Below are 13,868 nucleotides of genomic sequence, written 5' to 3'. Positions count from 1 at the left end.
TCACAAAGCAAACTAAAATGGGGCAAAGTTTTAACTTACTTTGAATATTATACATAATAAATATTTAGAATAAGTTGTTAGATAAATATGTTAGACACTGAAAAAAATAGAAAATATAGGAAATAAATGTAAAACTTTTATTATGATTTAACCAGAAAAGCTACTGAAACTCTTTTTCCAATTCATTCATTTAATCTACTACTTTTTTGGACACTCAGAGCAAGCAAGCTAAAATGCAAGTTAGCTCATAATTTGAAATAAATTCATATTCAAATGCCAAATTGGAACAAATCAAAGATATAACTATGGCCTTATAAATCAGAAAAGAAAGAAAATTAGATGGAAGATATATGTTACCAGTTTTAAAATGTAGTCTTCTAAAGTTAAATTTTCTAATTCCTTGTCTTCTCTGAGCTTCCATAAAAAGATTTTAAAAGGCATTGTGGGCTAACATAAAAAATGTACTACTGGGCTTAAAATTTCTTAAGAATATTATCTGCTTAGGAGATGGAATCGGATACTCAGTTCAATGAATCTGTAGTCACTTTTCTAAAACAGCAGATTTTGGCTTTGCACCCCATGACAATTTCTTTGTCCAAGCCACACTAAAAATAGGTCTTCATATAATGGAAATGTTGAGACATTAACTATAGCAATGTGAGTGAGCACCACTATAATAAGGATTTCTCATCAACTCTTGGTTTATGTTATATTAACATATGAAAAAGCTATTTAAACATTAAAATTAATACATCATAAAACAATGGTAATATTTCATACCAAATATAGTTTTATTTAAATCACAGCTACTCACAATAGCTATGAATATCCCCATTCAAATTGCTATCATGAATATTGTATAAAATGAGAAGAATAAACTAAAAGTAAAATTAGAATACTCCTTTATAAATTATAATATGTCAAGCTAACAAATGGTGGACTTGTCATATTGAGCAACTAAATGTCTAAATGATCATTCAGCACTCATAGTGTAGGAAGAAAAAAATATTGGCTTTGTTGCCTCTAAAGCAGTTGCTCGATTTTTCATACTGTCATTCTGCTCTATTAGCAAAGCCTAACACAATTAGGTATGAATATGCAGTAATAACATGCAAATTGTTCCCTCACAATTGCCCTAAGGCAGCAGTCTCAGCCTTTCTAAGCTTGATTCCTTCTATATCATTACAGGCTTGGCATAATTCATCAGAATAAAAAATACCTTAGCCTTATTGCAAGTGGCCAGCTAGTAAAATCACCGCTAGTTGTTAACCACTCTCCCTCGATGGTTTTGTTAGCGATGCTTGTCCCCAGCTCCCTGCCACTCCTGCACTTGTACATGTTTCCCTTGGGTAATGTTAGACACTACATTTGAGCCTGCCAGAACAATTAACCCTACTGTTAATTAGAATGAAATGTCAGGCGCACAGATGGTACAAGCTGGCACCCTGCCATCCCGCCAACTGCTGCTGAAAGCAGCTACCCTACTGCTGACAGCTGCTCAGCCATGTCCCAAACCAGCAGATGTCAAAACTTTCCAGCTGAGGAAGGTTAAAAAAAGCAAAGAGGAGGGGTTTCTCATCCCAGCAGCGATGATGACTGTTTTAGTGCTATTGTATCTATTACCTGTTGTCATACTGTACCAATCAAGAGGAAGTCTGCAAGCAGAGAGACACAAATTTAAAATAATGATACTAATCATCATAACATAAATAAACACAATATGGCTATAATTCAATACAAGTAGAAAAACAGCATTGGCAACAAACAAAATCACTGAACGTTTTCACTAAGTTCACATAAGTTGAGAGGCATATTTTCACATATGTTTTTCAACAGAAAAGAATATTTTAACATTCCCAAATCAGGTAATTTAAAAAGCCACAAAATATTGCCCATTTAACCTTTAGACAAAATATCCACTTTGTTTCTAGAAATCATACCTAGGGGTGAAATTATTATTTTTCCTGGTGTCTTCTGTTGTTCATAATTTATGAACATAATTTTTGAAATGACAATTTATGTTTCCCTCTATCCTCATACACATACATGTGGTCACCAAAAAGAGGTAACAAAGGATTATCCATGAAAAGTATCAAAACTAAAGTCTGATTGGACAATAAATTTGCAACTGAATATCATTTTGGTTAGAAACCAGCTTCAGAATTTTGGCCTGAATGTTGTGTTAATCTTGTGACTAAACAATTAGTGATCTTATTATGAATTACTTAGAAACGCAAGCTCCTTCTAAACTCAAGAGGACTGGACCATAAATCCCTAACACTTAGTTTTGAGATAAGAAAACAATTTTGTGTTGCTGATTGCTATTAAACATGGAAAGGGTAGAAGTGTGAAAGTAATCCCTTTTCAATTTTGAGTCATTCTCTTTAACAGCATGAATGCAGGTGGATATTATAACTTAAATGCCACAGGAAATATGCCATAAAATTTAAAGTGTATGTTTCTGCTATTTCTACTTCAATCGGACATTATTTAGTGATAAATTATTTATTCAGCATTTCATAAGTATGTACACATACTGAAAAGTACAGTGTAAAATATTTTGAACATTCAAAAGGAATTAAAAATTACTCAAGTACTAACTACTCATTCTAATTAGGAAAAAAGAAACATAATATACATATATGGACCATGTATCATTAGGGTTCTTCTGTCATCCCTAACCAAAGTTAACTATACTATGAAGATATCCATTAGTGCTTTTCTGTCCTGCATAGCCAAAATTAACTTACACTAAGAGGAGATTTATCAGAAAAGTATGAAATGGTTTATAGTAAATATTTTTCAAAAGCAGAAGGACTGGATTGGAAAAGACAGGGACAGCTTAAGGAATGGGGTGGCAAGAACAATGGGCAAACTAAGACACTAAGATGAATCAGCTCAAATAATTTCTTCTAGGAATGCAGAAGTTCACCTGCCCTACTTTGCTTCATGTGCCTAAGCATGATATGTGCACCGTAGCTTAATTAATGATTCCAACAATACTGAAACAAAAGTTCAGTATGTTACTATCTGAAAATGGGTAAGTAAGTACTATGTGTCAAAAACATTAGTGTCAGATGACCAATATCTTGTGAAGTCACCGCTAAAGGATGCCATGAAGAGACTTGATGCAACTTTGGTTAAAACTACAGAGAAGATTATACAGGAGGGGATAAGTAAGCATTCCAGATATAAAAGCGAGAGTAAATAAGAGGTTGCATGGTGAGATAACAAGCCTGGAATGTTTGAGCATTGAACATCTCACTAAAACAAGCCAGTACCATTAATGGAACAGTGACAACTATGACTACTACTACTTCTACTAATTTATTCTACTTATTACTACATTTCTACAGCAATTTACTATTTACAAAGTACTTTCTGAGAGATTCTTCTTTGATTTTTACAATAGCCCTGAGAAATATGTTAACACATATTCAGTGACTTTTTATATATAAAGAATCAAGAAGTGTGTTACAGATACACTAGAGTCAACATATGAACATACTATAACTAACACACATGAAGAATTTGATACTTATTAGATATAGGTTTAAGCTCAGAAAGCTGGAATTCTTTTTTCAGCTCATGTTTTTCTGGAAGCAATCTAAATAAAATGTGTTATATGTTATTTCACATTTTATTATTTTCCAAAAATATCATTTGATTAACTATCAAATGTCAGGCACAAGTCTAGATACCAAGAATAGTGAAATGAGATATAGCCCTGCTTTCAAGAAACTTGGAATCTAATATGAAGAGACAGGTAAAGAAGTACGAATGTTGTTTATATTTGTTAGAAAAGAGACAGGATGAAGTCTCATGGACACAGGACACAGGTAGGTCAGGTCCTACAAGGGCGCCATCAAGAAAGAGTTTTGAAAGCTATATGACTCAATATACTTGAAAATCAATTTGTTTCAGAGATTCACAAAATATCACTTAGCATACAAAAAGAGGACAAAAAAGATAACTGAATTAAAATAAGTACAATAACCCATCAAAAATAAATCTGCCCCTAAAATGCACAGACAATATATTAAACAAGTAAAATGCTTGTGGTTTGAATGCTCCTTTTTGTAAAATGTCTCTTTGAAAGTAACAATACTAGCATGCTATTAAATCCAAAATATGTGTTCAACTGGAAAATATTTTAATTTAAACTACCTCGAGATTAAAATGACATATTAAAGATGCACATGGTATAATATTGAAGTGTCCCTTGACTTCCACAGAAGTTCCAATACTGAAAAATAAGATAATTTTAAATGAAACGGACAGGGACAAAAAATATTTGAATATTTTTGTTGGAATAAAAGTAAAAATAACTCTTGCCCATTCAAAATTAAAGTATATGCATGTGTATATATATTTGTATGGTTTTGTTTTCACTGTGAGAGTGTAGTAATTTTCTGTCTTTTAATCTTGACTTATAATAATTCATAAGGGTCATTTTGGGCATAAGTGCCATTAGATATTAAAATATTAAACATTTTTAAATGTACAAACATATAGCAAACTCAAGTCATACCATTTAATAACAATCAGAAATAAGAAAAAATATACTTTTCTTGGAAACTCCTGTTGTGGTTGCTTTTTTGTTACTCAACTCTCTCTTACAGACCAGGGCTTATTCTTTATACCCATTCCACAGATCGCAGTTTTCAGCTTTTATTTTTCCTGTCCTACATACATAACATCTGTATTTTGTTCAACATATTTAAATATGCAGGTGAAATTTTCTAGTTGTATGCATAGTAAGAATTCATGATTGATATGGTTTGGCTGTATGTTCCCACCCAAATCTCATGTCAAATTGTAATCCCCATGTGTCAAGGAGGGACCTTGAGGGAGGTGACTGGATCAGGGGGACAGATTTCCCCCTTGCTATTCTCATGATAGTGAGTGTGTTCTCATGAGATCTGGTTGTTTAAAGATGTGTAGCACTTCCCCCTTTGCTTGCTCTCTCTCTCTCCTGCCACTATGTGAAGGTGCTTGCTTCCTGTTGCCTTTTGCCATGATTGTAAGTTTCCTGAGGCCTCCCAGTCATGCTTCCTGTTAAGCCTGTGGAACTGTGAGTCAAACATCTTTTCTTCATAAATTACCCAGCCTCGGGTAGTTCTTCATAGCAGTGTGAAAATCGACTAATACAATGATCAAATCCTTATGAGTTTATGAACCATTATAAGTTTCTGAATTGCATTCACATGCAGTATTTCATGCAATCTTTAAAATGCTTCAAATGAATGACAGAAGATACTATCATCCTCACTTTTTAGCGAGTTGTTCTCCATCATACAATTAACAAGTAGAAGAGCCGAGGCCATCCCAAAGTTGCAACCAAGCCCAATCCTCTTTCTAATTTAACACCATCTGCCTGCAGAATGCACATGAAAGTCCACCAGCGAAGTGTAACAGTGTTACTGTCTTTTTAAAAATCAATTATGCCTGTTTTCATTTATTACAATCAAATGATAGAGATTAGCCTCAAAGAAGCAAAACACTCAATCATCTATTTTTTCTCGGCAACCATCATGCAAGTCAAAGACATCTAGATGAACCAGAGAAATGAACCAGGGATTTTTAGTGAACAATTGTGAAATGATTCACAGTGCAGGCATTAAATATTTAAGCAGAAATAATGTAGCCTCTGTTTCCTGCAGATTTAATAGTGCATATACTTGATAGATTTGCTATCAGAAAAATACATTAGATTAGAAAACATGCCTATTTAGAAAAATAAGCTAAATATTGTCAGATTAAGTGTAACTTCTTGCTTATACCTGTCTTTCCTCTGTAGCCTAGGACCTCACCGGTGAAGAGACAAATGAGGAGGGCAAGAGAAAGGCAGATACAAACAGAGAGAGGAGAATAGATACAGATAAATAGGAACAGGAAGAGAGGCAATTTAGGGAACTTGTGACGGTTATTAAATAGGGCAAAGAAACATTGTCTAATTCTAAGAAGGATGATTTTAGACAGAGCTAGTCTGCCTATGCAGGGGCCCCTGAACCAAAATACTCTTCCCCTAAATACCTGAATACTTTTACTTCATTTGTCACGCTGTCTCAATTCCACCATGGGATTATTCTTTCTTAAAAAATAATAATGCTTTAAAAATTCAAATTATCTCTGGGAGGGTTAAAACACTATTATTACTAGAAGAATAATATGACATCACTGGGAAAAACTTTATTACTTAGCTCAAAACCCACTAATTTAAACATGAGGATGCTGAGACCTTGTCAGGTCAAGCTATTGTCATAAAATCACAAAGCCCAACTATGTCAGAACTGAGACTTCCAGTCTCCTGAGTCTCCAAGTGAGGAGAATCACAACAGTAATAATAGACAACATTTCTGAGTGGTCACTCTGGAGCAGCAGTGCTTTGAGACAAACCCATATGTCATAATGTTAAATGGTACTACTTATACATGTTTTTTCCACCTGTGTTAAGCAGACGAATAAGCAGCTTGTGGGTTGTTTCAGGGAATGGGAAGAAGGGCAAAAGAATGGATCGATCCTAGTTTCAATGAGAGGATGTCCATGCTTACCCATGTTATGCACTGGAGTTTTGCCTAAGATTTGAGAGCATCTTTAGAACACTCCTTTTAATGTTTCCATTGATATCATTCATCTTCGCTCTCTACTGCCAGGGAAATCTAGTCAACTGCACTTTTCTATTTTTTTTTTTTTTTTTAGACAGACTTTCACTCTTTCGCCCAGGCTGGAGTGCAGTGGTGCGATCTTGGCTTGCTGCAACCTCCGCCTCCCAAATTCAAGCAATTCTCCTGCCTCAGCCTCCCAAGTAGCTGGGATTACAGGCACCTGCCACCACGCCTGGCTAATTTTTGTATTTTTAGTAGAGACAGAGTTTCACCATGTTGGCCAGGCTGGTCTCGAACTCCTGACCTTGTGATCTGTCCACCTCGGCCTCCCAAAGTGCTGGGATTACAGGCGTGAGCCACCGCACCAGGCCTACAGGTTTCCTATGTGATAAAAAATTAGAATTTATAGCTTAAAAAGGTATTTCATAAGATTCTCATTATATGTTAGAAGTTCTTAACAACCTGTCATAATACTTATATCTTACCTGTAAAAATTACTTAGGATCTCTGTTAGATACCACTTTATTTATAAAATTGACAGTTATTTCAAGTACTTGAAAACAGTAGGAAGGGCTAATCTATAATTCATCTTTGCGCTCATTTAGACTGCTGCCCTTACCCATCTAGTTAGTCTGGATTACGATAGTTCACCTTATTTAAGAATAGGAAGATTATGTGTTTCATTCTCTCCAGAGTGGTCACTTTCCATCCCAGACTGAGAAAATTCATTTCAGCCATCAAAGTTCAGTTTGAATGCTACCTTTATTACAAAGCTTTCCCAAATCACACTGCCAGAAATCATCAGCTGATCTTTAAATTTCTATTAGCAAATTATTTGAAGCTCTTTCCAAGATTTACCACATATCACTTTAGATTAGAACTATGTATGTACATGTCTTACCTTTCTTCCTAGATGAGAAATGGCTTAGGACCAGGAAACTTGTGCTCTGTCTGAGAACCTATAATGCTTCCATAAATTCTCAACTAATATGTGTATATGTTTAAATGAGTGATGAGCTGAAGCTATGGGGCATGTGAAGGAAAAAAAAATGGGAGAAACAAAGCTCTGAGTGGACTGGAGAAAATGCCTTGAGAATCTCTTTTACGTTGCCTCACAGTCAAATCACTAGAGATTACTCTCCCAAAGATAAATCAACTGCTCACAGTAAATGCTTACCTATATTTGAATCATTAGAAGACACAGGTAAAACAAACCTGCCAGGAAATTATCCAAAGACATTATTTACTGTCTCCATTTGCTAGCATAGATATAAACCCTTATATCAGTAAGAAAGAAAAACTGAGTAACCTTTGATCTGGCCTAGAATCATTCAATCCAAAGTTCCACGTTCCAGTTCGACTCCCTTTTGTGACTACAACTTCCACCGGCTCTCGAGGGAATTAAATACAAAAGACATGTGCCAGGCTCTGTAGAAAAATATGGCTATCTGATTTTAAACTTTTATGTAGCTACTTATTGACTTATGAGGTATGGTATTTAGTTTCCGTTAAAATAAGATTTGCTTAAACTTTTGAAACAGCAAATTAAATTACATATATTTAAAAGAAAATTAAATAAAACCTATTTTGCCTTCTGTGTACAAGGCACTATGTTAAACCTACATAGGGAAGAATCAGAGGTGGGTTCTCTGCCCTTGTGGAGTTTATACTCTAGAAATTCAATAACCATTAATCAATCTATCATACAATTAAAATTTTGGGAAATAGAAAAGGGAAACATAAGTTGGAGATCTGTTATTGACTTAGGCAAGGCTTCTTCTAAGAAATAATTTAACTTAGTTTTGAAGAATTTATTGATTCTCCAAAATTATCATTTATAATTTCTACAGATTTCTGAATGAACAATGAATGATTTAAAGTTCTAGAATTACACATTGATCTTATGTAATCTTTTCTTTGGAATGTGTTTTCGTTACTCTTACAGAATATAAATCAATTATTTAAAAACATTTATCAAACTTCATATGTGTATTTTCATTAGAGTTGTAGACTGATTACACAACTGGAATACTTGCATTTTTGCAACGTTATTTATAAAAAAGAGTAGACTAAAAAAGCTGGCATTTAAACCAAATAATTTTGCTAGGATGTTATGATATATTAAGAGGAGGTTTAAGGTGCCATATAACTACATGTGTAAGTACACCCTTATTGCTGACCTTACAATGCACTTAGTATCTTATACTTCACTAATGCTGTCTCTACTACCACAAGCAATTTATTCTGCCTCATGTTCCTCAAGTGCTCATAAATCAGCATTAGATCCTTTTTACTGAGTTGCTGATTTTAAGCCAGCACAGTTAGAGGGAGCATTTGGATTCAAAGTATAATATTGGCACACATATTGATTTTAATTAGTCTAATTAGTTCATTACACTAAAAATCACACAGATCATTTATTACATCAAACCTAATGGCATATGATCAAGGATTTAATATGATAATGAAGTAGATCAATTATCACTCATAAAGGAAGTCATTAACAAGTGTAAACATTGTCAAGCTGAATACCATTACAAATTATGAAGTCATAGCAAAGAAAATTTGCATATACGCATTAATTTTATTTTATAATCTCTTTAAAAAATAGGTACATTTTCATTTTTAAATTCACTTTTATGTGTCTGTTATTACTATTTTAAGTTATGCACAAGCTGGTTAACATAGGTTGTAGGTTTAAATCCTTGTAATTGTATCTGGGAAATCTATATGTTGCAAAAAAAAAAATTAACATCGTTAGCTGGAACTAAAGTCCATTTCCATTTCTTTTTTTCCTTCACCTTGAAAACTTAGAGTTTGTTCACTCTGGCAGTTTAGTAGTCCTGGTTTGCATAACAATAAATAACCAATGAAGGTTCTTGAAATATCTGTGATACTTGATATATCCTGCAGGCTAATTGATGTTATTTTTAAATCTTTAATTAAATAACAATAGCAACATATAATTACATTCAGCAAGGACCAAGATTTCTGCAACAAGATTTCAGATTATAACCCTACATACTCATTTATTAATGCTTTTTGCGGCTTTAACATTACCAAGACATCTTAAATAAAAGCAGCCAAGTGTGCACCCTGGTCCTAACTCAGTGCATTGCCATTTATCATTATTATTGCTATCATTACCCTTTGCTTAGGGTCCCTTCACTGTGTTTTAAATCCATTTGACAGTAGTGCACATTCAAGCCATTGAGAATTTATTTTTCTGGCGAGAACTTGGGAGGTAGTATATAAAATATTTCCTTGATATCGAGATATAATATGATCTAATTGTCATTACCTAAATGTTAAACTTCAACAAAAAAACGCTGTCCCAGGAATTCTTCAAAACCTCTTCAGAGAGTTCTCAAGCAAAACACCTTGTTATTGACAATTTTATATATATACATATAATTGATGTAAAGAGCATCATAAATGTTCCTGAGTGATAAACTACAATAGCTAATTATCATAATAATAAAACTAATAAAATAATATAAAATAAAATATCTTCCTAAAATACCACCTCATTCTGTTGTCAAGATAGCAAACCTGAAAAGCAACCTCTGTGGATTCATCACCTGGTCCCTCCATTTTACTATGTGTACCTCACAGGCTTGTTGGGAGGACCAAATGAGTTAATATCCCTAATGTACTTAAAACAGGGCCTGGCATGCATTAGTCACTCAGACGTTAGCTGTTTTATGAAGAGGCAAGTAGTGGTGTGTTCAGTTGTCTGACATTTTTCTAGTCTAACAGCTTCCTAGAGCAGACTGCAGTGCAATGAATATGCAAAGCTCACCTTTCTGCTTTACTTTCTGTCACTGGTGTAGAGTATACATCAATGGTATAATTTCTTAACGGCATTCTCTTACCAGACGCTCTCACCTCAATGCATTCTCATTGTCATTATTGTTCAAAAAGCGAAATTGATCATACCTTTTCACCCGTTCTTCTCTGTGAAGAGAATAAAGTCCAGTTCAAACACCTTACCATGACATTTTCTCTGTCCTCCCCAATCCTATCTCTCTATTCTAGGTTTGTGTGCTGCAGCAATGCCAGGTTCTTATTGTTTCCTAATAGGCATTGTGCTTATCAGCCTCCAGGCTATTCACCTCCTAGGTTTGCTTCCTGACAGGTACCCTGTTTTTCTCCCTGATGAATCCCTAATGATTCTTCAATATCTATTCCCTCCAAATGTATTCCATTCTTCATTATGAGTTACACAACTCTGGGAAAATTATTTAATTTCTCCAAACTTTAACTTCTTCTCTGAAATGCATGAATAAATATGATCATTTATGCTAATGTGCTTGTAAGATTAGGTACATATTCCACACAGAGTTCAGCACATAATAGGTGCTTAATGAATTGTAGCTATTATTATTACTATTGCTAACATCGTTATTATTCCATCTACAAAAAGAAAGCCTGCATTTCTCAACCAAAATATAATGAAATCTACACCAGGATCAAAGCATTTGAGCCCATAGGTACTAGGACCCCAAGCCCTAAGAAATGTGTTAACAGATAGGACACCACCAGTGGTGAGTGAGACAGAGGTAGTAACTTAAAACGCCAATGCTCATTACCTGGGTGATGAAATAATCTGTACACCAAAACTCCGCAACATGCAATTTACCCATGTAACAAACCTGCACATGTACCCCCTGAACCTAAATAAAAGTTGAAAATAAAAAATAAAAACTCTGTAGTCAAAAGTCAAAGATTGTATTGGTAACAAAAAAGACAACTAATATGGGGGGAAGAGCAACTGCAAAGGCCAATAATATTGTTATTATTGCCATCCTGCACAAATATAAAAAATATGTATTTTTAGAAAACATTTAAATGTAGCAAAATCCTATTATCTGATGAGCTCTGAATAACACAACATGTCATTTGTTTATGAAGCATAAGCAATATACCTACAGATTGGTCTACTCTGCAAAAGTAAGGAGAAAAGAACACCTCCCCCTCTTTTTATGGATCTGTCAAATAAGTGCTGTGCTTTCTCTGTCAAGATCACAAGCTTTGGTGAATTAGTCATGGAGTTCTTTGTTTTTAGTTCAGATAAGCTGATTGTTTGCTTTTGAATGCAGTGTACAGACCTGTTGGCAAGTTGAGAGAAGGCCCCCAAGGAATACACTGAGGACTACAGTAGAACTCCAGCCAAAAGCAGTACACAAACTGCTCTCCAGATTCCACTGCATGAATACACACACCGCCTTAATTAATCCATCATTAACATCAGAGCGCAGCACAGCGCCTACCACACCTGGCTTGACAGCTGGATTGAAAGCGCCCTTGACAGCTGGTGCTTATGCACTTGCTTGAAGTAAGGGGGCTGATGATGGGCTTGCCTAGGGAGCTAGAGCCCTGCCGAGAAGTTATGTGTTTGATGAACGTAATAGCAGTTAATGAGAATATTTTATGCTAGAGTTTGGGGACTGATGTAACAGCACTACAATAAAATGTACATACTTGGCAATTCAATATCTAACTCTGCTAAATATTGTAAAGCCATGTAAACATTTGAGCAAATGTCTCATGTGCTAAGAAGTAAGCTCCCACGGAGCAGTATTTTTAACCTTAAATAGCTAAATAGAATCACTGCAGGTCCTTGTGGCCTGGGGGGTAAAACATTCCCATAAACATCAAGGCAATTCCCTTCTAAACTCTTGATCACACTTTATGCTTACTACCACGGAGTGTAATTTTAACCCCAAATGCTCGTCTTTTCCCTAAATCAATGTTTAGCCTTTATATTTTAGGGCCTTATTCAGGTAGTGTTATCTATCATAGCAATTAGGGATGATTAGGTGACTTCCGGTGGTGATTGATGGTTCCTTCCCATGTTTATTAAGTTGGGAGCACTTCTCACTTGTTAATATAACAAAAAAGGCTGGGTCAGTTGCATCTCCAGTTTCAACAGGCTGAGAATCTGATTTTTCTCTAAGTGTCCTGCTTTTGGCTCAGCTTAGCTTAGCAGCTGCGGCAGCACCATTAATAGTTTCACAGGGCCTGTGGAATTAAGGTTAAACCCTGAAAACCCTGAAATTGGCACTTAGATCCTTCCCTGCCCTGCTTCCATTGATCAAACCAACCTGCCCCTTCAGACTCTAAGGTGGCTAAACTGAATTTGTTACTGTTCTCTGAAAACAGACTGCTTTTTTTTTCTTTTTCTTTTTTTTTTTTTGTGGTCTCTCTGTGCCTTTGTTCACATTGTCCCAACTCCCAACTAATCTTTCATGACCCAGGTCAGAAACCACCTCCTGATCACATTTGCTTCCTCGGAGCTATGTAGAAGAATGAAAGTGGCTTGACCCACTACTGTGAGATTTTTAAAGGCAAGGGACTCTGTCCTATTTATCTTTTGCCAATTCATTTTTGGAATAAATGAATTAGTGACAAAATCAAGAATAGAAGCAGGTCTCACTGTATAGTACGGGTTGCCCCCACCACCTTACATTATTACCCAGCTGTGACTAAGTGAAAGACATTTAAAAAGGTAGAAAGAAAAATCCAGATCTATCCCTTGAATTACGTGTAGTATATGCTCCTCTATTAATAATAGCAGCTAACAGTTTTTAAGTCTTTATTAACCACATTCAATACATTTTTAACTTATGACTCACAGTCAACCAATGAGATATTATCACTCTCATTTTATAAGTGAGGAAAATGTGACTCAGAGCGAAAGTTAAGTAACTTAAGTTTACAATGAGAAAGTAAAAGAAGTTAGGTTTTATAAAGCTAACCTTTATTGAACAGATAGTATGCTTTGGAGACTGTTCTAGGTTCTTTCCTATAGTAAGTCACTTAATCCTCCCAACTACTCTATGAGGTAGGTACTAATATAAATTCCAACAATGAGGAAACTGAACAACAAAAGAGGGTAAACACCGTGTGTCAAATGATAATCAGTGGGGCTGAGATTTAAACTCAAGGAGTTTAGCCCCAACTCTCAACTACTATGCTATAGCTATTCCAGCATCTTTGACATCAAGCTCAGACTATTAACTGCTATGTGACCTTGCCTCAAAAGGAACATTTATGCCACTGTGTTTATAGTATATGTGTGTGTACATGCCTGAACTCCTAGGCTGTGGCTTTCTCATCACAGTGCATCCTACAGTGTCTAATTATCTAATACTGTTTTATAGACCTAGGTTTTCAATAAATATTAGAGGCCTTTCACTTATGTACTTTGCCTTAAATCAACAGAAAACTATTAAGAGACAATTTTCTATGACTCTG

The 13,868-nt window shown here is 35.0% G+C and overlaps 2 annotated features.

Annotated features, from left to right (window-relative positions):
* Positions 268–1,898: an enhancer, noted in NCBI's record as "VISTA enhancer hs742". NCBI's record gives its function as "enhancer in: hindbrain (rhombencephalon)[7/8] | forebrain[7/8] | eye[6/8]" and the evidence as "EXISTENCE:transgenic organism evidence [ECO:0001131][PMID:17130149]".
* Positions 13,341–13,400: a silencer, noted in NCBI's record as "silent region_19306". NCBI's record gives its function as "represses an Ori minimal core promoter by ATAC-STARR-seq in GM12878 lymphoblastoid cells {active_cell/tissue: GM12878}" and the evidence as "EXISTENCE:reporter gene assay evidence [ECO:0000049][PMID:35858748]".

This window comes from Homo sapiens, chromosome 8, assembly GCF_000001405.40.
Source record: "Homo sapiens chromosome 8, GRCh38.p14 Primary Assembly".
Lineage (NCBI taxonomy): Eukaryota > Metazoa > Chordata > Mammalia > Primates > Hominidae > Homo > Homo sapiens.
The sequence above is the reverse complement of the archived record's forward strand: the minus strand, read 5'-3'. Positions and strand labels throughout refer to the sequence as shown.